A 25,094-nucleotide genomic window follows, 5' to 3' on the forward strand; every position below is an offset into this window, starting at 1 on the left:
ACAGACCAGTAATGAGCTCCAAAATCGAGTCAGTAATAAATACCCTGCCAACCAAAAAAAGCCCAGGACCAGACAGATTCACAGCTGAATTCTACCAGATGTACAAAGAAGAGCTGGTATCATTCCTACTGAAACTATTCCGAAAAATTGAGGAGGAGGGATTCACCCCATCTCATTCTATGAGGCCAGCATCATGCTAATATCAAAACCTGGCACAGACACAACAAAAAAGAAAACTTTAGGCCAATATTTTTGATAAACATCAATGCAAAAATCCTAAACAAAATACTGACAAACTGAGTCCGCAACACATCAAAAAGCTTATCCACCACGATCAAGTTGGCTTTATCCCTGGGATGCAAGATTGGTTCAACATATGCAAATCAATAAATGTGATCCATTACATAAACAGAACTAAAGACAAAAACCACATGATTATCTCAATAGATGCAGAAAACGCTCTTGATAAAATTCAAAACCCTTTCATGTTAAAACTCTGAATTACATATTGAAGGAACATACCTCAAAATAAGAAGAGCCATGTATAAAAAACCCACAGCCAACATCATACTGAATGGACAAAAATGGGAAGCATTCCCCTTGAAAACCAGCCCAAGACAAGGATGCCCTCTCTCACCACTCCTATTCAACATTGTATTGGAAGCCCTGGCCAGGACAGTCAGGCAATAGAAATAAATAAAAGGCATCTAAATAGGAATAGAGGAAATCAAATTATTCCTGTTTGCAGAAGACATGATCCTCTATCTAGAAAACCCCATAGTCTTGGGCCCAAAAGCTCCTTAAGCTGATAAACAGCTTCAACAAAGTCTCAGGATGCAAAATCAGTGCGCAAAATTCACTAGCATTTCTATACACCAGCCATCAAGCTGAGAGCCAAATCAGGAATGCAATCCCAATCACACTTGCCACAAAAAGAATAAAATACCTAGTAATAGAACTGACCAAGGAGGTGAAAGATCTCTACGAGTACTACAAAACACTGCTTAAAGAAATCGGAGATGACACAAATAAATGGAAAAATATTCCATGCTCATTAATAGGAAGAATCAATAGCATTAACATGACCATACTGCCAAAAGTAATTTACAGATTTCAATACTATTCCTATCAAACTACCAATGACATTTTTCACTTAACTAATAAAAACTATTTTCAAATTCACATGTATCCAAAAATGAGCCCAAATAGCCAAGGCAGTCCTGAGCAAAAAGAACAAAGCTGGAGGTGTTATGCTACCTGACTTCAATCTATACAACAGGGCTGCAGTAACAAAGACAGTATAGTACTGGTACAAAAACAGACACATAGACCAATGGAACAGAATAAACAACCCAAAAATAAGGCCGCACACCTACAGTCATCTGATCCTTGACAGTGCTGACAAAAACAAGCAATAGGAAAAGGACTCCATTCAATAAATGGTGTTGGGATAGCTGGCTAGCCACATGCAGAAGATTGAGCCTTGGACCCTTTGCTTATATAAAAATAACTCAAGATGGATCAAAAATGTAAAACTTAAAACTAAAAATGCTGCAAGACAACCCAGGCAGTACCGCTCTGGACATAAAATTTAGGCAAAGATTTCATTATGAAGACACCAGCAGCAATTGCAACAAAAGGAAAAATTGACATATGGGATCTAATTAAATCAAAGAGCCTCTGCACGGCAAAAGAAACTATCAACAGAGACAACTATCGACAGCCTACAGAAAGGGAGAAAAATTTTGCAGACTACACATCTGACAAAGGTCTAATATCCAGCATTTATAAGGAACTTAAACATATTTACAAGGAAAAAACAAAAAGCCTCTTTAAAAAGTAAGCAAATGACATGAACAGACACTTTTCAAAAGAAGACATTCATATGGCCAACAAGCACATGAAAAAAAGCTGAACATCACTTATCATTAGAGAAATGCAAATCAGAACCACAATGAGATACCATCTCACACCAATTAGAATGGCTATTATTAAAAAGTCAAAAAAATAACAGCTGCTGGCAAGGTTGTGGAGAAAAAGGAATGTTTGTACACTGTTGGTGGGAGTATAAATTCCTTCAACCATTGTGGAAAACAGTATTGCCATTCCTGTGGAAAACAGCATTGCCATTCCTCAAAGAGCTCAAATCAGAACTCTCATTTGACTCAGAAATCCCATTACTGGGTATATATACCCAAAGGAATATAAATCATTCTACCATAAAGACGCAGGCAAGCATATGTTTGTTGCAGCATTGTTGACAATAGCAAAAAAATGGAATCAACCTAAATGCCCATCAACGGTAGACTGAACAAAGAAAATGTGGTGTGTATATACTACAGAATACCATGCAGCCATAAAAAAAAAAATGAGGTCGTGATTTTACAGAAACATGAATGGAGCTAGAGACTATTATCCTAAACAAACTAATGTGTGAACAGGAAACCAAATACCACATGTTCTCACTTATAAGTGGGCACTAAATTATGAGAACACATTGACACACAGAGAGGAACAACAGACATGGGGGCCTACTGGAGGGTGGGCGGAAGGAGGGAGAGGATCAGGAAAAATAACTAATGAGTACTAGGCTTAATACCTGGGTGATGAAATAATCCGTACAACAAATTTCTATTATATGTTACCTATATAACAAACCTGTACATGTACCCCTGAACTTAAAAGGTAAAGAAGAAAACTACAAAACATTGCTGAAATAAATTAAGGAAGACATAAATAAATATAAGGACATCCCGTGTTCATGAATTTCAGGCTTTAATATTGTTAAGATGACAATATCCTACCAAGCAATCTACAGATTCAGTGCAATCCCTATCAAAATTCCAACAGCATTTTTGTAGAAAATCTATTCGAATATTCATATGGACTATCAGCAGACCTCAAGTAGCCAAAAAATTTTGAAAAGGAAGAGCAAATATGTAGGACTCACAATTCCTGATTTCAAATCTTAATATAAATCTACAGCAATTAAAACAGTAGGGTACTAGTATAAGGAGAGAGATAGAGATCAATGGCATAGAATAGAGGGCCCACAAATAAGAACTCTTACATATATGGTGAAGTGAGTTTTGTTTTTCGTTTTTGTTTTTGTTTTTTGTTTTTTGAGATGGAATCTTGCTCTGCCGTCCAGCCTGGAGTGCAGCGACACGATCTCGGCTCACCGCAACCTCCACCTCCCAGATTTAAGCAATTCTCCTACCTCAGCCTCCCAAGTAGCTGGAATTACAGGCGCCCACCACCACGCCCAGCTAATTTTTGTCTTTTTGGTAGAGACAGGGTTTCACCACGTTGCCCAGGCTCGAACTCCTAACCTCAGGTGATCTGCCCACCTCAGCCTCCCAAACTGCTGGTCAGTTACGAGCTACCACGCCTGACCATGAAGTGAGTTTTGACAAGGGCACTATGATCATTCAATATGAAGAACAGTCTTTTTCAACAAATGGGAAAATTGGAAATCCCTGTGCAAATTAATGACATTGAGCCCTTGTTTTACACCATATACAAAAATCAACTTAAAATACATTAAAAGACTAAAACTCTTTTTTTTTTGAGACGGAGTCTGGCTCTGTAGCCCAGGCTGGAGTGCAGTGGCGTGATCTCGGCTCACTGCAAGCTCTGCCTCCTGGGTTCCCGCCATTCTCCTGCCTCAGCCTCCCAAGCAGCTGGGACTACAGGTGCCCGCCACCACGCCCAGCTAATTTTTTGTATTTTTAGTAGAGACGGGGTTTCACCGTGTTAGCCAGGATGGTCTCGATCTCCTGACCTTGTGATCCGCCCGCCTTGGCCTCCCAAAGTGCTGGGATTACAGGCTTGAGCCACCATGCCCGGCCGACTGAAACTCTTAAGAGCCAAAACTATAAAACCATTAGATGAAAATATAGGGGAATGTCTTGATGACACTGCGTTTGGCAGTGATTTCTTGGATATGACACCAAAAGCACAGGCAACAAAGGAAAAAAATAGTTAAGTTGAACTCTATCAAAATTTGGAAGTTTCCTGCATCAAAGAACACTGTCAAAAGAGTGAAAAGTCAACCCATACAGTGTGAAAAGATTTTCAAATTGTATATCTGCTAATGGATTACTATCCAGAATATATAGGGAATTCCTATAATTCAATGTCAAAAAAAAAAAAAAAAACAGCCCAGTTCAAAAATGAGCAAAGGACTATAATGGACATTTATCCAAAAAAGATATACTAATTGCCAATAAACACATGAAAAACACTCCACATCATTAGTCTTTAGGGTAATGCAAATCAAAGCCGCAATGAAATACCACTTTTTGATCAAAGACCACTGAGAATAACAATTGTTGGCAAAGATGCAAAGAAATTGGAATGCTTTTGCACTTCTGCTGGAAATATAAGAAGGCACAATTACTAAGGAAAACAGTTCGGGAAATGAAAGTGTTCTGGAAGTAGATAATGTTGAAGGTTATATAACATCATGTATATACTTAATGCCTCAGAATAGTCCACTTAAAATGGTCAAAATGATAATATGTTTTATGACAATAAAAATGGATATAAAAAGAAGGGAGCAATTAAAAGTTATTATTGGCTACTTCTTCTCTGGTGTTTGTTTCAGTTCATAAATTAGTTTTCTAACCCAAATTCATACTTGTGTAGTAAATTTACAATTTATAATAAAATATTTAGTAAAACTTAGTTCTCATATTAGGAATGGGTATATTGAATTAAGGGCAATAATTCCTTTATTGTAATGTCTGTGAGCTCACAAGTTTCCAAAATTCCAGTTATGCCCCAACTGATTAATCATTAGACTTATAAATAGTATAAGAGTGGTGATTGCAGACTTTTACATTCATGTTCACTGTATGCCGGTACATTGCCCAATTCCTGAATCTCCTTTAACCTTGCAGTAACCCTCAGAGTTTTTCTGTATCTTCCCCATTTTCTATACAGTCTCCCTGAAAGTAGTAAATGCTGCACAGGAAGGCTGCAGTCAAGGCCTTGCTGTGTTGAACAAAGCTGTAGCTTGTTGCAGACGTCCCTGTGCTAGTCTGCTGCTCTGGGGCTAACCCCTCCTTCACATTGTCTCCTAGGAGAGATTGGGATGATGGCTGTCACCCTGCAAGGTCTGATCATGTAACTCAAGAAGTCTTGGTAGAGAGCTTGTGTCTGACTGACCTGAAGGGTGGACACTCTGTTGAGACCACTGATGAGGTGGCCACAGAGGGAGAAGTGATGACCAGCGTTCCAGGAGAGTGTTCTGGGTTAAGGGGCCAGTGGGTCACAGGAGAAATTCTTCAGAGAATTGTAACATAATATTTTGCAAAGTATTACAGGTGTTCAAGGGTCAAGTAAAACACTGCTGATATCACACATGTAGTGTAAACTAAGTGAAGTCATAGAGGTGAGATGTGCTATTTTGTTTCTGAAAGAATGTGAGTTATTGAGAGGATACTGTACTTTTTCTATCTAGAGCACAGTTTATTTACTTCAGAGAAGCTAGACATCACTGACCTCAAAATAAGTAATTTTCATGCAACAACCCAAGTAATTACCTGTCAGAGATATAAGATAGTTTTGATCTAGCTTTGAAGCCCTGGTTAAGGACTTTATAGTTAGAGCAATAAACTTATGGTTAAATATTAAACATTATTGAATGAATGGAATGCTTCATATCTAATGCAGCCTCTCAATGGGTCCATTTTTATTCTTTATCACAAAGGTAAAGACTGGAAAAGCAAACAATTTCACTGCTTAAGAAAATCTTTCCTTTCTGGCCGTGGTCTTCTGGGGGTCGGGTGTTAACCAGCACACCCATGAGTTTACTGGCCTCAGTACAACCTGCGATTGCCTGGATGGTCAGGCTGTGCCAGCCCCTGCACTCTCTCCAGGGCTGCCGCCTGGAAGAACACACCACTTAGCACACTCATGCTTTTGGACACATAACACACCCGTCAGGTTAATTATATACATGAACAAAATATTTTATAATTTAATACAGATTTATTCTAGCTTACAGGGTCTTGGAAGCAAGCATATTCTCTGTCTTCTGTGAGTTCACAGCTTAGAAGCATAACGTGTTATACCCACACATGTCCCAGCTAGAATGAAGAAGGTTTTCCTTACTTTTTCCAGCTTGTTTTCTTTTTTCAACATAATCTATAAGCTAAAGGCAAAGGATTAGGATAGAGATGGCCTTTGACTTGGCTTGTTCTCAAAATGATAGGGGCTTATTGTGATCACTGAGGGTTCCCATTGTGTCTCCCCGCTTTGTGGGCTCTGTGAATTCTTCCTGGAGTAACCTTTCCCACCCCTGGTCTGCCTGAAAAGCTCATAATTCTCCTGCTGCTTTCCTTTGTACCTTCACTGCCATCTTTTTCCCAACGCTGGACATACTTGGTCCCTCTATTGTGCATGACACCATGGTGCCTTCCACACGCGTCTATTTTAGCACATTCAATAGGATCTGTGGTTGTATTTCTGCCTTCTTTTCTACACTATGAGCTTCTGGAGTGCAGGCAAGTATGATTTGTGGCTTAAATGGAAATCTTGGCTTTGCAAGACCAGTGTAGCCATATAGTCTTCATGTTTTCTCACAGGATCTGGAAATTAGATCCCAACTGATTTGTGAGGAACCAGGAGGAGGATGGGAATTTGTATGCTAGTATTTGCAGCTATGAAAATACATGGTTCAGTGAATCATCCTACCCCAGCTAAGATACAAATGGTTGGAAAGTTTTTATTCTCATCCACACCTTATAGGCCAGAGGGCTTACAGTAGGAGAGGTAGGTGGTGTTCACCCAACAATAGTGCTTTCTTGCTAAATTGGTGCCAAGCAGACAAGGAGAACACGAGCAGGCATGATTGCTGGGCTTCCAGTTGTTCTCACGTAGGCGAGTTCTCTTTCCAACCTGTGTGATCATGCTATCTAGAATCCCTTCAGCATTCCTTATTGAGTGAAAAAAACTGACCAAAAGGAAAAATATCAAACCTGTCTGATGAATGATTGCTAAGTGGAGGTCCTGTCTTTCTATATATTTGACCGTGAATCCTCAGCATATTGTGGAGTATAGTTCTCATAAAATAGGTCTTTTAATTCTGTGTCGAATACCCATGTGTATTCTGAAAATTCAGAAGTAGTATTTTGAAAATGTCTTATTTATTGTAGGCTTAATAATTTTTCTCAATAAATATGCTGTCTTTAGCTGTTTGAGAGATACAATCTTGTGGGAATAATGCAAAGGGTATAAATGTGGGAATGCCAGTGCCTATTATTCTAGCCCCAGTCACAACATCTCACTCCCAGGAGTAATTCTGAGTGTTGGTTCTCTTTCTGGTGGGAGTGACGGGCAGCTCTTTGCCTTTAGGAGATCTGTGAACTGGTCAGGCTGCCGTCTGGCATATTTTCTCCTTCAGACAAATCAGTAATGTGAAAATGGAGTTCTCAATCTCTTCCCTTTTCAAAGTTGGCTTCAGATATTTTTCTGTGTCAACAAAAAAGATAAAACACCTGTTTGATTTATTCTGACATCTAGAATCCTAAGGGTTTTTTAAAGAATTGATTTAAGAAATGAGAATTCAGTCCAACACAGAGTTAATTTATTACCTGTTCTCTTTTGTAGAATGTCAGTAGAATTTGTTATTTTCATGTTGCAGAGAAGAGTACAGTTTTTAACTGTAATTGATTTGCTGAAAGCAGTTACATCTGTGGCTAAGCCATAAGTAACATTTAATTCTTTGGCTTTTAGGTCAGCTTGGATTTTATCTATTGTCATTTTTCCCAGTAGTTTCAAAAACACAAAGTTATGGAAAGCCAATTCTGTTATGTTGCTTTAAGCTCCTTTAGACCTCTGGTGAAGCAGCTTGATGTTCCTGGAAGTGTTTCATAGATTTTCTTCAACTACTAACATGACAGTGGACAAATAAGAGAGTGTGTTGGGAAAGGAAGCTTTTTATTTGTACCACTTGAAACAGCAATATTGTCCTCACATGCAGCTCAGAAGATGAATGTAGCTGAGTTCGTATACCTGCTGGTCCCTTCTCTCCTGGGTTAGCCGATCTGCTAGGAAGACAGGCTGTTAGCACACCCTGCCCTCAATTCACATTTCTCCCAGGGCATGCCCTGCCGGGCCCAGAGCATGCTCGGATTGGAGTGCAGTCATGAAAGATAGCAAAGATGTCTGGTCTGTTGTCTCATACTTACTTTATTTTTAACTTCTTTCCTACCTGTCATGTAAAGAAACAGATACTGAGGAATAGTTGTGTGTCAGACCATTATTTTGTAATTAAAATAATCCGAAGATCATGCAGTGATCTTTAAAGCCATGCACTAACTTAAAGAGTAATTTCTATTACAATAAAATTGCAAGTAAAATATCACTTTGATAATCTTTAGGTAATGGGTAGCCTTGTATGTACCTAAGCATTTGAATGTAACTCTTTTCTGTGAAAGAAAAATTATAATAAAAGGCTACATGTTTCTTGCCTTTTATGTCACTTGGAGAATGCAGTGCTGAGGAGAGGAAATAATAAGTGTATTGGTACTAGAGCCAAGAAGACACATATAAAATGATCCAAAAAGATAAGAAGTAAATGGTTAAGGTTTCTTTATCTAAACCAATACAGTATCCGCCCCCCGCACCCCTTTTTGTAAAGCCAGTCAAATTTAGCAGTGGAAGAGTTGTGGGAGGTTTGATACAATATTATAACTGGAAAAAGAAAAGTCTATTTTTTTGGTTATTGGTTTCTTTTTAATAAAAGACATAGCATTTAAGAAATGTTTATAGATCATTTAAGAGGAAATACAGTTGTTAGATTTACCTCTTTGAGGTTTTTCTTACAGAAATTGTTTCTAGCCTTCTGTGATGTGTGAATATCAGGCAGGACCAATTTAAGGGTAGCCATTGTAACACAAAAGTTAAAGCTTTTGTGTATTCATTAAGTTGGGTAGCCATTGTGTTACAGTGTCGAAGTGTGACAGTGTTCTTGGAGCTGTGAGTTTAGGCATTGCTTGACGGATGGTCTGTTGTGTCTACGCTCCAGGGGACTGCCATGAAATAACAGGGTTCAGCTACTGGAGGGCAGAGTTATAAGAGCACTGGCATTGGAGTGATGGCTCTTGAGTTTGTGATCGAGATTGGACAGGCTCCTTGATTGCCACGAATTCCCTTTTCCACAGCTGTGACACAGCATTTACAGCTACTTCATTAGGGTGATGAGGAGATATGAAAATACCATGTGAAAGCACCCAGCATGCGGCCAATAAGCAGCAGCAGTTCAATAAATGATAGTCCAGTTTGATTGCAGTTAAGTTGCAAGACACAGTCGTGCCATTGTGAGTCACACAGTTCCCCGCAGGTGGCCTTCTGTTCCTCCTGAGACACACCTTGCCCCTTTCTCACCTCACCACCTCCGAGACTCCCTTCACCCCTGCCTGGACCACCCCAACCCAGTCCTTCTGATTCTTCACCGAACTAAGGGTGTGTCTAAGTCACCAGTTCTCATTTATTTGCTTGTTTATTTTTCATCCTATCTTGTTTAAAAATTGATTTTAATTGGCTTAGAAAAATACCAGGATTCACAGAATGCACAAATCTGTATGCAAGAGAAGCAGCAGGCTGCGTTAAAGTAGGAGACTCGGTCAACACCAAGGCTCAGGGCTCTGCCCAAAAACAGATCTGTTAACAAGAAAAACAGCAATATCTGGTAGTGACACCTTAGAAAAATTTCCTTATGAGGAGGAAGCTATAATACAGAAATAAAATAATACAGGAGAACAAATATAACCTGTTTAAATGAGAACAATTTCTGTTAATATCTGTTAGTACAAGCTGCCAGAGTAACAGCTCAGTGAAATTGTATATTCTGTAGTATTTATTGGCCCTCTTATCATGGGAAAGTTTTAAGCATCTCTGAGCATAGTTTCCTAATGAGTAAAATGGAGATTAAAAACACTTCAGGGCCTATGAAACACTTAATGAAACGTGGAGTCTGGTACCAGAGTCTGTATATAGAAGATGCGCAATATATTTTTTTTTTTTGAGACAGAGTCTCGCTCTGTTGCCCAGGTTGGAGTGCAGTGGTGCTATCTCAGCTCACTGCAACCTCTGCCTCCAGGGTCCAAGCAGTTCTTCCTCAGCCCCCTGAGTAACTGGGATTACAGGCGCTTGGCGACCACGCCCAGCTAATTTTTGTATTTTGTAGAGACAGAGTTTTGCCATGTTGCCCAGGCTGGTCTTGAACTCCTGGCCTCAAGTGATCTGCCTGCCTTGGCCTCCCAAAGTGCTGAGATTACAGGCGTGAGCCACTGTACCTGGCCAATGCTCAATTAATTTTAACTATTTTATCATTCATAGTAATTTGTAATATTTCATATAGTAGAGGTAATTTTAGAAATCTAGTCCTGGAATATTCCTTAAGCTATCTAGAGGAGAGAGTAAAAGAGCCAAACTTTTAAGCTACTGCTCAATAAATGATGGCTTCTTGCAGATTGTCCCTCAATAAGTATTAAAGTGGCAGTGAGTTTAAAGTTATACTGCTGGCATACTTTCATCCTTTGTTTCATTCAGTGAATATCTTTAGTGTGGAGTGCTGAGGATGCAGCCATTTCAGGGTCTTGGTAGAAATGACCATCCTGTAAGTAGACAGTTGCCACACAGGGTGCAGGGGGAGCCTGCCAGGGCTCAGAGGGGAGCATGGGGAGGCAGAGCCCTAGGGGAGGCACCCCCAGGAAAGACAGCTGCGCTTAGCTGGGAAGGAGGAATTGGAGGGGCTGGCTGCAGGATTAGGGGCAGCAAGGGGCAGGGTAACTTGCCCAAGTGGAACATGTGAAGGGGAAGTGGTATGGTTGAAGCTAGAGTTGAAGGTTGAAGCTAGAGTGCTAGCAGCACCCAGGGCGTGAAGGGCTGACACTTCGTGTGAGGAAAAGATGCAGTATGGAAGGCACAAGGAGTACCAGAGGACACGCATCAGGTCTGTGTTTTAGAAAACCCGACAGAAATAATGTGAAGAATGAATTGAGGGTGGGCTGGGCATCCAGCCTGACGACAAACACACCTCTGAGGAAGCAAAAAGCAGTGAGAGGAGGAGCAACCAGCGGGGTGGTGACAGCGTGGTGGGGAGGATTAACCAGCAGCAAGAAGGGACAGACTTCTGAGAGTGCCAAGGATGAGGATTGGGGTTGTGCGTGACAGTTTCATCTTGGAAGTTTTAGGCTGCCATGACTGGGAGATGGTGGCACCTTCACAGAGACAGAAGAAGCAGGAAGGACAGACCTCGGTTATGTTTCATTTCTTGGTTGAGTGCAGATGAACTAACTGCTTTAAAAGTCAGCTGAGGTTGCAGAAAGTGAGGAGCCTAAGATCAGCATGTGCCGGAACACAGCACTGGGGAGCCCCTGCTGCAGAGCCACATTCATCCTAGCAAGGACAGTTTGGGTTCATATGAACACACAGTCACTGTGGTTTAAGTCTTCAAGATTCTTCTCCAAAAAGTGGCAGCATTTCTCAGTGTTCACAGATACTCATCTCTCCATCAAAAAGGAGATCCCAGTAAAATGCTCATAAAGTGTAATTGCTGTGAGACATCAGGTGGACCTTCCTAAATTGGCTATGAAGTGTGTAACTGAATGCTTTACCTACAATTATAGCTCTAAACCTGTTGAATGTAGGGAAATATTCACCACAGAAGATAACTTTGATTTCTGAGGAATTAATTGGAAGCCGTGTTTAATTAGCAGAGGCACTTACTCATCCAAGCCGTTCTTAGCTTGTTGTAATAATACATGATTTGCTTTTGAGTTGTTTTTTTCCATTTGTTCTTTGTTTTGGTTAGGAAGGTATTCATCTCATCCAAAAGTGATATAAAATCAGTGAAAAAAAAAATTTAAAGAAAGGGATGTGGGGCGGGGTGCAGTGGCTCACGCCTGTAATTCCAACACTGAGAGACTGAGGCAGGCAGATCACTTGAGGCCAGGAGTTCGAGATCAGCCTGGCCAACATGGTAAAACCCTGTCTCTACTAAAAATACAGAAAATTAGCTGGAGTGGTGGTGGGCGCCTGTAATCCCAGCTACTCAGGAGGCTGAAGCAGGAGAATTGCTTGAACCTGGGAGGCGGAGGCTGCAGTGAGCCGAGATTGCACCAGTGCACTCCAGCCTGGGCAACAGAGTGAGACTCTCTCAAAAAAAAAAAAAAAGAAAGAAAGGAAAGAAAAGAAAGACATGTGGAGCACAATTCTGTCTTACTTTGCTGGAAAGTATCTTATAAGAGAAGGTTTCCCCTGCTCTGACTCCCATAGCAGGTACAACTTCTGTCTCAAGGTCATAAACAGGCTCCTGTGGTGAGCTTAGCAGCACAGCCCACAGCGGAATTCCACTCCCCAAGTAAAGTGGGGCAGTAGGGGGGAATGCAGGGAGAGCTGCACCTGATCCTGTGGCTGAGGTTCTCCTTCAGGTGGTAAAGCAGCCATGAGCAGGGGCTGGGGAGTGGCCTGAAGCCAGCCTGCTCTTTTCAGACCAGGAAGGGAGGGGCTCAGGGCAACTTGTCAGAAAGGAATTTGCTACACATTCTAGTGGAAAGTTCTTGTAGACTAATAGAACTGTAAGTTTGGGGAAGTAAGGCTTATCAGTTTTAGAAAGCAGAATAGCTTGTGCCCAAGAACTGAACAGCAGCTAGGAACACTAACAGTTCAAGTCCATAGTGCTGTGAGAACTACAATAGCTTCTTCAGTGTTTAGCATCCAGTTTCTCTTAGTTTGTGCCTCATGATGTTTTGAGCTTTAAATGAATCACAGTAAAAAGATTTGACCACCAGCCAAAAAAGGTGAATTCATCTCATTTGAGGCTCAGGGTGAAAGAAAAAGTAAAATAATATCTTGGAGAACTTCTTCACCTATTTTACCAGTATTTTCCTGTTTAAAGTCTACCTAATGAAGAAAAATGTATCCATCCACTACTCATGAGAGCCTGCCTAAGTTCGAGACCAGCCTGGCCACAGTTGAATACTGTGCTGGGCACTGAAGATTTAGAGGTGAATATAAAGAAAAGGCAAGATGGATTTAATGTCTAAAGTAGAAGATTAGGAGGAAAGCAATTAAGCAGTTACCTGATTTAAAATGTTACCCTACAGTGTTCATGGAATTGTTTAAAAGCTATATCTTAGATACAAACATGTTTGTCTCTTAATGTGTGGGTTAAGTATTTGATTAGATGAGTATGTCCTAATTGAGTAATCCAGGAGGAAAGGTCCTAAATCCCTGAAAGTAATAGCATGTACTATTTTGTTAAAATGTAAGGTCTGTACTTGAAACTTTCCAGCTCTTAAAAATGAGGAAATTCCAAGCATTCTGCACTAATAGATAGTGTTAGTGGGTAGTTGGTGGATGACGTCAAATGTCAGAATGGTGAACAGCTTCGTTCATATAAACTGAAAGTGTACAATCTGGGATCAAGTGTTCTCGCTGCTCTCAGGGATCGGCGCACAGCCTGTGTGCTCCCATGTGGCCTGACTTGGATTTCAGAGTTTATATGAGGCACAGCTGAGAGTCTGGAAAAGGCACAGCATCTTCTCCTTCCTGTCCAGATGAGCCAAGTGAGCAGGAAGGGTCTCAGCATCTATTCCTGAGGCCCTATGAGAGGTTTCTTCATTCCTTTATAATGATTAAGCCCTACATTGGGAATGGGTTTGATTTGTCATTGTACAAACTTCAGAGGCTTTAATGGTAATTTTATTAACCTTGCTGGACCTTATGGAATGTTGATAAAAGCAACCACTCTTTGTTATGAAAGCAAAAAGAGACATTGAAAAGTTAGTTCAAGATAATTGGCAAAGCCAGCTGCCATGATGAGATTGTTGAATAGTGATGGTGGTAATGGCAGAAAAGGTGAAGGCTCTTTCTTGAAAGACAGCACAGGAATCACCGCTCTAATGCTATCTTTGTGATGTTACTGTTGAATATATGTGAGGTGCTGCTGTCTTCTGACTGACTTCTTGGTCACTATCACAGTGTTATGACTGCTATAAGGTGTAATGGTCTTTTCTCGTCATTACATTCTGTTTAGGTTTTGTATTGTATGAGAGAGATCTGGGGAAAGAGATATATAATTGGACATTTGTATATATAATGTTAAGTGAAAAACTGAGAGTTGTAATGCAGCTCTAAGTTCCAAGATTGATGGTTGGCCAGATGCGTTGGCTCATGCCTGTAATTCCAGCACATTGGGAGGCCGAGGTGGGCAGATCACTTGAGGCCAGGAGTTCGAGACCAGCCTGGCCAACATGGAGAAACTCCGTCTCTACTAAAAAAAGATAGAAAAATTAGCAAGGCAGGGTGGCACATGCCTGTAATCCCAGCTACTCTGGAGTCTGAGGCAGGAGAATCGCCTGAACCTGGGAGGCTCCATCAGGGCACTGCCTGTTTTGCTTACCACTGTATTTCTGGCCACTTCAGTGTTTGTGTTCAATGTGTATTTAATGACTATGGACAGAATGAATACAAAGGAAAAAAAAGAACTTGGAGGTAGGAAAACAATTGTGGGAGACCAGCCCATGTGAGTGACCAAGCTGATTATATGATTGACAAGGTTGACTCTACATAATTGAGTTTTAAAAAAGACTAGAAAGGACCACTTGAAGTCATTGAAGGGAACTCTCTGGAGATAGTGGAGTTCTTAGTCTCTGCCCTTTGTTCTTAAAATATTCAGCTGCATTTTAGGTAAGGTAGTGATCTGCCTTCAATTGCAAATAGTTGATAATATCACTTTTAATGTAGACTAAAGCCAACATTTTTCATGTATTGTTCTATTTGGAGTAAATAACACATTTTGGCATGGTTCTTCATGTCTTAGCATCTGTCAGTTTTCATGTGAGGACTCAGTTTACAGGTTATATACAGCACATGTTGAGCGTGGTCAGTGGGTATTTGTACCTGAAGTACGTACTTCCCTTCTGTTGCTGATATTGTCATGAGCAGTTCCACCCTCAGTGTTTACCTCTATGCTTTGAAATCTTCTCTCAAACGCATATTCATTCCTATTTTTTGTACCCTTTGGGATTCCTCAATCTCATATACATCTTTCCATTTCTGACCTAATCCCAGCACTTTGGGAGGCTGAGCCGAGCATAGTGGGGTGTGCCTATAGTCCCAGCTACTCAGGAGGCTGAGGTGGGAAGATCACCTGAGCCCGGGAGCTGGAGGTTTCAGTGAGCTCAGATGTGCCACTGCATTCCAGCCTGGGCTACAGAGCGAGGCCCTGTCTCAAAAAAAAAAGTCTCATGACTTCGTCTCCTAGATGAGACCATCTCTAGCTGATGCCTTTGCTTGCATTCTCATGTGCAGGGCCAGCAGATACTGATGGAGCAGATGTTCTCTGAGGCTGTAGGTGCTGGGGCACAGATCTTTTCCTCATCCTACTACCTAGTGAAGGGGAGAAATGACAAGCGAGGCAACTGCAGGTGAAAAGTGTTTGGAGAGAGGTTTCTATAGGGCTCCAGTCTATGCACTGAGCCCAGGCATAGACTTCAGAGATGCTTCCTGAAAAGAAGTTGGCAAGATATGAGGGAGGAGGGCGCAGCTCCTGATTCCTCTGACCTTTCTATTGTGGGTTTGATGCCCCCTCCCCACCTGAGTCCTCATGGGCAGCTGTGTTTTGTTTTTTTTTGTTTTGTTTTGTTTTGTTTGAGACAGAGTCTCGCACTGTCGCCCAAGCTGGAGTGCAGTGGTGCGATCTCAGCAGCTGTGTTTTTAAGAAGTGTTTCTACTCCTTTCCTTACTCAATCCTGACCCTGTAAAATTCCCACTTGCTGGCTGCCCCCTCCCCAAGGAAAGGCCGCCCCTCTGCCCCTCCACAGTGGGTGGTGCCCAGAGTCAGGGGACAGGTCTGGGCTTTCCTATTCTTGCTGACCCAGCTATAGAGACCGTGCTCTTTCCCATTCAGAGAGTCATAGCTACTTGGTTTTTTTTTGTTTGTTTTGTTTTGTTTTGTTTTGTTTTGTTTGTGTGTGTGTCTTTTATTTTACGCTTGGGGTTGTCTTTTTAAAACTTTCTTTTATTCTTTTATCTTGGGATAATTACTTATTTTAAAGTAAGCCTTGTTTGTTTTTGTCTGTTAAAAATCTTTACAGCCATCCAGCTTATATCAACTTTTTTATTTCCTGCCAGGCAAAAAGAATTAATAGAAAATGGCAGCCCAAGAGGTAAGATACGCAGTCTGTCCACACCCCAAACAGGGCAGGATAAATGCCTTTCTTGGTTCTAATAAGCCCTGAAGAGATACTCCCTGTAGCACCAAGTCATTTCCCTCTGCTGCCCCTTTGAGGTGACTGTATTCCCAAAAGTAGTCAGTGTAGAGGAATGGATGGCCCGTTTAGGATAGGTAGTTGCACAGATTATCTCTGAGGGAGGTGACTAAGAAGCTGAACTCCAAAGACAAGACAAAGGAATTGATGAACAGTATCATTCTCTTAACTCTGGGATAGGGATTCTGTGAAGGTTAATGTATGCTCTTTTTTCTAGGGAGAAGATCCCTTTATATTTGATTGTCATGGGGATCTGTGGCCCAGAGTAAAATCAGCAGTCCCAGCTGTATAGACTTTCAGGTTCATTATGGTTGTGATCTGAAAACCTTGGTCACCTCTGTGGTATGTGTCATTGGATTCTAGCTACTTGAGTGAAGTGGCTCCTGTGCATTCTTAGAAGCGAGTATGAGAGAGGATGGGGTGGAGTTCCAGTTTTACTAGAGAAAGCTCTCAAAAGAGAATTTTGATACCCAACTTGAAACCTGGAAAATTACCAAGTACAGCTTCGTGTTAAAAAAAAAAAAATGTCGATGCATCTTTATCAAGTTAGCAAACGATTTCTATGATTGTCTATTTCCAGAGTAATTTGATTGAACGGGTTCTCAGGTTTCCATAGCTGGGGTTGTAGGAGTATTCTCCACAAGCGAAGATAGACCAAGTGCTTGACACGTGACCTCACCGAAAGAAGTCACTTAATAAAGTGCGGAATGAGTGAAGGGAAGTTGCAGGTGTAATTTTCTTCACCAAAGTCAGGAACCCAATAGAAGCAATCATAGCAATGAAAATAGTAACTTTTGATGAGCGTTCACTTGTCTTTTAAGGGCTTTATACATATCAACCCTTTGAGAGCAGATCCCACTGCTCTTCGCATCTGCTGTGAATTTGTTGGTAAAGCCTAACAAGGTGGGCCATCTCACCTAGGGTGGGCTCAGCTGTCCTGGGCCAGGTCCTCCTCCTGAGGTCCTGGTGAACCTCATAGTCCTGTATGCAGCACCTCCTTGAAGGTAAATCCATCCTCCAGAGCAGAACATGGTGGCAGAGGCACAGTGACACTGGTCCCTTATCCTCCTCATGCAGTGGCTCATGCTGTTAGGTTTCCTGAGGCTCAGTTACTGCAGATGGGTGTATTTGGGGGAGATGGTCTCGTAGTTCTGGGCATATAAAAGCAACAGTAAAAACCAGGCATCAAAAAGCTGATACCAGACACAATTGTGATCCTGGATTAGAAAAGAATTGTTATAAAAGACATCATTGGGACCAGTAGTAATATTTGAACATGGATTGCGTCTTGGATTACAGTATTGTATCAATGTCACATTTCCTGAATGTGTTTACCACATTGTGGCGTTCAAAGGGAATGGCTGTGTTCTTAGAAACAGATCCAGACCCGGACGGCAGTTCCAAGACAGCTGAATAGGAACAGCTCCAGTCTACAGCTCCCAGCATAAGCGACACAGAAGATGGGTGATATCTGCATTTCCAACTGAGGTTCCGGGTTCATCTCACTTGGGCTTGTCGGACACTGGGTACAGGACAGTGGGTGCAGCCCACCAAGCGTGAGCTGAAGCAGGGCGAGGCATGGCCTCACCCGGGAAGTGCAAGGGGTCAGGGAATTCCCTTTCCTAGCCAAGGGAAGCTGTGATAGACGACGCCTGGAAAATCGGGTCACTCCCACCCTAACACAGTGGTTTTCCAATGGTCTTAGCAAATGGCACACCAGGAGATTATATCCCGTGCAAGGCTCGGAGGGTCCCACGCGCACGGAGCCTCGCTCATTGCTAATACAGCTAGTACAGTCTGAGATCAAACTGCAAGGCGGCAGCGAGGCTGGGGGAGGGGCGCCTGCCATTGCTGAGGCTTGAGTAGGTAAACAAAGCAGCCAGGAAGCTCGAACTGGGTGGAGCCCACGACAGCTCAAGGAGGCTTGCCTGCCTCTGTAAACTCCACCTCTGCGGGCAGGGCATAGCCAAACAAAAGGCAGCAGAAACCTCTGCAGACTTAAATGTCCCTGTCTGACAGCTTCGAGAGAGCAGTGGTTCTCCCAGCACAGAGTCTGAGATCTGAGAACGGACAGACTGCCTCCTCAAGTGGGTCCTTGACCCCCGAGTAGCCTAACTGGGAGGCACCCCCCAGTAGGGGGAGACTGACACCTAACACCTGACACTTCACCCCTCTGAGACAAAGCTTCCAGAGGAACGATCAGGCAGCAGCATTTGCCGTTCTGCAATATTGTCTGTTCTGCAGCCTCCGCTGCTGATACCCAGGCAAACAGGGTCTGGAGTGGACCTCCAGCAAACTCCAACAGACCTGCAGCAGAGGGTCCTGTTACAAGGAAAACTAACAAACAGCAAGGACATCCACACCAAAACCCCATCTATACATCATCATCATCAAAGACCAAAGGTAGATACAGCCACAAAGATGGGGAAAAAACAGAGCAGAAAAGCTGAAAATTCTACAAATCAGAGCGCCTGTCCCCCTCTAAAGGAATGCAGCTCCTCGCCAGCAACGGAACAAAGCTGGACAGAGAATGACGACTTTGACGAGTTGAGAGATGAAGGCTTCAGATGATCAAACTTCTCTGAGCTAAAGGAAGAAGTTTGAACCCATCGCAAAGCAGCTAAAAACCTTGAAAAAAGATTAGACGAATGGCTAACTAGAATAACCAGTGTAGAGAAGTCCTTAAATGACCTGATTGAGCTGAAAACCACGGCACAAGAACTATGTGACAAATGCACAAGCTTCAGAAGCCTATTTGATCAACTGAAAGAAAAGGTATCAGAGACTGGAGATCAAATGAATGAAATGAAGCAACAAAAGAAGTTTAGAGAAAAAAGAGCAAAAAGAAGCAAACAAAGCCTCCAAGAAATATGGGACTATGTGAAAAGACCAAATCTACGTCTGATTGGTGTACCTGAAAGTGACGGGGAGAATGGAACCAACCTGGAAAACACTCTGCGGATATTATCCAGGAGAACTTCCCCAACCTAGTGAGGCAGACCAACATTCAAATTCAGGAAATAGAGAACGCCACAAAGATACTCCTCGAGAAGAGCAACTCCAAGACACATAATTGTCACATTCACCAAGGTTGAAATGGAGGAAAAAATGTTAAGAGCACCCAGAGAGAAAGGTCGGGTTACCCACAAAGGGAAGCCCATCAGACTAACAGCGGATCTCTCGGCAGACACTCCGCAAGCCAGAAGAGAGTGGGGGCCGATATTCAACATTCTTAAAGAAAAGAATTTTCAACCCAGAATTTCATATCCAGCCAAACTACGCTTCATAAGTGAAGGAGAAATAAAATCCTTTACAGACAAGCAAATGCTGAGAGATTTTGTCACCACCAGGCCTGCCCTAAAAGAGCTCCTGAAGGAAGCACTAAACGCGGAAAGGAACAACTGGTAGCAGCCACTGCAAAAACATGCCAAATTGTAAAGACCATCAATGCTAGGAAGAAACTGCATTAACTAACGAGCAAAATAACCAGCTAACATCATAATGACAGGATCAAATTCACATATAACAATATTAACCTTAAATGTAAATGGGCTAAATGCTCCAATTAAAAGACACAGACTGGCAAATTGGATAAACAGTGAAGATCCATCAGTGTGCTGTATTCAGGAGACCCATCTGATGTGCAGAGACACACATAGGCTCAAAACAAAGGGATGGAGGAAGATCTACCAAGCAAATGGAAAACAAAACAAAACAAAAAGGGGTTGCAATCCTAGTCTCTCATGAAACAGACTTTAAACCAACAAAGATGAAAAGAGACAAAGTTGGCCATTACATAATGGTGAAGGGATCAATTCAACAAGAAGAGCTAACTAACCTAAATATATATGCACCCAGTACAGGAGCACCCAGACTCATAAAGCAAGTCCTTAGAGACCTACAAAGAGACTTAGACTCCCACACAATAATAATGGGAGACTTTAACACCCCACTGTCAACATTAGACAGATCAACGAGACAGAAAGTTAAAAAGGATATCCAGGAATTGAACTCAGCTCTGCACCTAGAGGACCTAATAGACATCTACAGAACTCTCCACCCAAAATCAACAGAATATACATTCTTCCCAGCACCACTTCGTACTTACTCCAAAATTGACCACATAGTTGGAAGTAAAGCACTCCTCAGCAAATGTATAAGAACAGAAATTATAACAAACTGTCTCTCAGACCACAGTGCACTCAAACTAGAACTCAGGATTAAGAAACTCACTCAAAACCACTCAACTACATGGAAACTGCACAACGTGCTCCTGAATGACTACTGGGTACATAACGAAATGAAGGCTGAAATAAAGATGTTCTTTGAAACCAACGAGAACAAAGACACAACATGCCAGAATCTCTGGGACACATTCAAAGCAGTGTGTAGAGGGAAATTTATCGCACTAAATGCCCACAAGAGAAAGCAGGAAAGATCTAAAATTGACACCCTAACATCACAATTAAAAGAACTAGATAAGCAAGAGCGAACACATTCAAAAGCTAGCAGAAGGCAAGAAATAACTAAGATCAGAGCAGAACTGAAGAAGACAGAGACACAAAAAACCCTTCAAAAAATCAATGAATCCACGAGCTGGTTTTTTGAAAGGATCAACAAATTGATAGACCACTAGCAAGACCTAATAAGAAAAGAGAGAAGAATCAGATAGACACAATAAAAAATGATAAAGGGGATATCACCACCGGTCCCACAGAAATGCAAACTACCATCAGAGAATACTATAAACACCTCTACGCAAATAAACTAGAAAATCTAGAAGAAATGGATAAATTCCTGGACACATACACCCTTCCAAGACTAAACCAGGAAGAAGTTGAATGCCTGAATAGACCAATAACAGGCTCTGAAATTGAGGCAATAATTAATAGCCTACCAACCAAAGAAAGTCCATGACCAGAAGGATTCACAGCTGAATTCTACCAGAGGTACAAGGAGGAGCTGGTACCATTCCTTCTGAAACTATTCCAATCAACAGAAAAAGAGGGAATCCTCCTTAACTTATTTTATGAGACCAGTATCATCCTGATACCAAAGCCTGGCAGAGACACACAAAAAAAGACAATTTTAGACCAATATCCCTGATGAACATTGATTCAAAAATCCTCAGTAAAATACTGGCAAACCGAATGCAGCAGCCCATCAAAAAGCTTATCCACCATGATCAAGTGGGCTTCATCCCGGGGATGCAAGGCAGGTTCAACATACGCAAATCAATAAATGTAATCCAGCATATAAACGGAACCAAAGACAAAAACCACATGATTATCTTAATAGATGCAGAAAAGACCTTTGACAAAATTCAACAGCCCTTCATGCTAAAAACTCTCAATAAATTAGGTATTGATGGGACGTATCTCAAAATAATAAGAGCTATCTATGACAAACCCACAGCCAATATCATACTGAATGGGCAAAAACTGGAAGCATTCCCTTTGAAAACTCGCACAAGACAGGGATGCCCTCTCTCACCACTCCTATTCAACATAGTGTTGGAAGTTCTGGCCAGGGCAGTCAGGCAGGAGAAAGAAATAAAGGGTATTCAATTAGGAAAAGAGGAAGTCAAATTGTCCCTGTTTGCAGATGACATGATTGTATATTTAGAAAACCCCATCGTCTCACCCCAAAATCTCCTTAAGCTGATAAGCAACTTCAGCAAAGTCTCAAGATACAAAATCAATGTGCAAAAATCACAAGCATTCTTATACACCAATAACAGACAAACAGAGAGCCAAATCATGAGTGAACTCCCATTCACAGTTGCTTCAAAAAGAATAAAATACCTGGGAATCCAACTTACAAGGGATGTGAAGGACCTCTTCAAGGAGAACTACAAACCACTGCTCAATGAAATAAAAGAGGACACAAACAAATGGAAGAACATTCCATCCTCGTGGATAGGAAGAATCAATATTGGGAAAATGGCCATACTGCCCAAGGTAATTTATAGATTCAGTGCCATCCCCATCAAGCTACCAATGACTTTCTTCACAGAATTGGAAAAAAATTCTTTAAAGTTCCTATGGAACCAAAAAAGAGCCACATTGCCAAGACAATCTTAAGCCAAAAGAACAAAGCTGGAAGCATCACACTATTTGACTTTAAACTATACTACAAGGCTACAGTAACCAAAACAGCATGGTACTGGTACCAAAACAGAGATACAGACCAATGGAACAGAACAGAGCCGTCAGAAATAATACCACACATCTACAACCATCTGATCTTTGGCAAACCTGACAAAAACAAGCAATGGGGAAAGGATTCCCTATTTAATAAATGGTGCTGGGAAAACTGGCTAGCCATATGTAGAAAGCTGAAACTGGATCCCTTCCTTACACCTTATACACCAATTAATTCAAGATGGATTAAAGACTTAAATGTTAGACCTAAAACCATAAAAACCCTAGAAGAAAACCTAGGCAATACCATTCAGGACATAGGCATGGGCAAGGACTCCATGACTAAAACACCCAAAGCAATGGCAACAAAAGCCAAAATTGACAAATGGGGTCTAATTAAACTAAAGAGCTTCTGCACAGCAAAAGAAACTACCATCAGAGTGAACAGGCAACCTACAGAATGGGAGAACATTTTTGCAATCTACTCATCTGAAAAAGGGCTAATATCCAGAATCTACAAAGAACTCAAACAAATTTACAGGAAAAAACAACCCCATCAAAAAGTGGGCGAAGGATATGAATAGACACTTTGCAGGGGAAGACATTTATGCAGTCAACAGACACATGAAAAATTGCTCATCATCACTGGCCATCAGAGAAATGCAAATCAAAACCACAATGAGATACCATGTCACACCAGTTAGAATGGCGATCATTAAAAAGTCAGGAAACAACAGGTGCTGGAGAGGATGTGGAGAAACAGGAACACTTTTACAGTGTTGGTGGGACTAAACTGGTTCAACCATTGTGGAAGACAGTGTGGCGATTCCTCAAGGATCTAGAACTAGAAATACCATTTGACCCAGCCATCCCATTACTGGGTATATACCGAAAGGATTATGAATCATGCTGCTGTAAAGACACATGCACATGTACGTTTATTGTGGCACTATTCACAGTAGCAAAGACTTGGAACCAACCCAAATGTCCAACAATGATAGACTGGATTAAGAAAATGTGGCACATATACACCATGGAATACTATGTAGCCATAAAAAAGGATGAGTTCATGTCCTTTGTAGGGACATGGGTGAAGCTGGAAACCATCATTCTCAGCAAACTATCGCAAGGACAAAAAACCAAACACCACATGTTCTCACTCATAGGTGAGAATTGGAAAATGAGAACACTTGGACACAGGAAGGGGAACATCACATACCAGGGCCTGTGCTAGGGTGCGGGGAGAGGGGAGGGATAGCATTATGAGATATACCTAATGTAAATGACGGTGAATGGGTGCAGCACACCAATGTGGCACATGTATACATATGTAACAAACCTGCACGTTGTGTACGTGTACCCTAGAACTTAAAGTATAATAATAAAATAAAATATAATCACTGAAAAAGACTTTCTACACGTGTCAAAAACATTTTTAGCCAAAACTTGTAACTACAAAAAGCATGCCTCACATTTCGTGGTACTTCAAACTTTAAAAAGACGTATTCAGAAATAAATCAACATGAATACAGAAGTTGTTAAAACAGTATTATAATCATAAATGGGTCGTTTAAGTTTTTTACTGAAGCAATAGTTTTCACTAAATTTTACCTAAATTGAAAAAATAGAATAAACACTGTCAGAATATATATTGAATTAAAAATGACTAAATATTTTTATGTTTCTGTCAGTATATGGAATTTTTCTTAAAGGCGGTCAATAAATAAAATTCTGTTTATTTAAAAGAAAAAAAGAAACAGATCCAGACCTATTTAGAATTAAACGGCCATGATATCTGCAGTTTATTATCTGTGGTTCAGCAATATAATAATATCAGTAGCCACAGTGACCACAACTATATATATATATATATAGTTCATGAATCTGGCATGTTTTCTATAAGTCTGAAAGAATTTCAAAAAAAAAATGTTGAGGCAGAGCAGCTACCTGAGGTAGCCACCAAACCTACGTGCAGAGATCAGAAGAACACAAATACAGTAAACGTGCTGAGGGCCAGGGGCAGCTGTTCAGAGTTGCTGTTCTCTGCTGTCTGCTTTGGTGTTCCAGAAGGGTGTGGCCCCAGTATTAGCTTGGCATGGTGGCGTACACCTGTAGTCCCAGCTGCTCCAAGAGGCTGAGGCAGGAAGATAGTTTGAGCCCATGAGTTCAAGGCTGTAGTGAAGTATGATCCTGCACTCCACTCCAGCCTGGGCAACATAGTGAGACCCTGTCTCTTAAAAAAAAGAAAAAGAAAACCAGCCAATATTGAACCTTTTGTTTTTACAGTGATCCTATGCCGAGGTCTCTAACCACACAGCAACCTACAATGATGTGAGAAGGAGCCAGGCCCCAGAAGGCCAGGCAGTACAGGAGGAACGAGGTGACGCTGTCTTATGGTTAACCATGTGACACTACCTGTGGATAGTGCCCAGGTCTCTCACTCCCCAACCTGAAAAGAGAAGCCTGCATAACTAGACCCCTGTGCATCAGATTCACCCCTTCCCTGTGCTACATGTGAAAAAGCTGGGTGGACATGATGTGCCAAGAATGGCCCAGGCTGTTCTCTAGTAGCAAACTCCCAACCTACATACCATGTCTTTAGTGCATGGTATGACTCTCCCCTGATTTCCATCTGCCAGACACAGACGTGGCCTGGACTGCA

The 25,094-nt window shown here is 41.5% G+C and overlaps 1 protein-coding gene across 56 annotated transcripts in view, besides 1 other annotated feature; it reads left to right on the forward strand.

Moving 5' to 3' along the window:
* The window catches only part of SPIDR (scaffold protein involved in DNA repair), a 475,429-nt gene that overhangs the window by 206,305 nt on the left and 244,030 nt on the right, over positions 1-25,094 (forward strand). Inside the window, exon 10 of one of the 56 annotated variants that reach the window (NM_001352958.1) lies at positions 16,153-16,187. The exons of 54 other annotated variants lie outside the window; for them this stretch is intronic. The gene's annotated coding sequence lies outside the window, so the exon portion shown is untranslated. Of the gene's footprint in view, positions 1-16,152; positions 16,188-24,680; positions 24,813-25,094 lie in introns of those variants that run through there. One more of the 56 variants, XM_047421651.1, reaches the window with a different exon arrangement.
* Positions 10,888-11,167: an enhancer, noted in NCBI's record as "active region_27326". NCBI's record gives its function as "activates an Ori minimal core promoter by ATAC-STARR-seq in GM12878 lymphoblastoid cells {active_cell/tissue: GM12878}" and the evidence as "EXISTENCE:reporter gene assay evidence [ECO:0000049][PMID:35858748]".

The sequence above is a fragment of the Homo sapiens genome, chromosome 8 (assembly GCF_000001405.40).
Source record: "Homo sapiens chromosome 8, GRCh38.p14 Primary Assembly".
Classification (NCBI taxonomy): domain Eukaryota; kingdom Metazoa; phylum Chordata; class Mammalia; order Primates; family Hominidae; genus Homo; species Homo sapiens.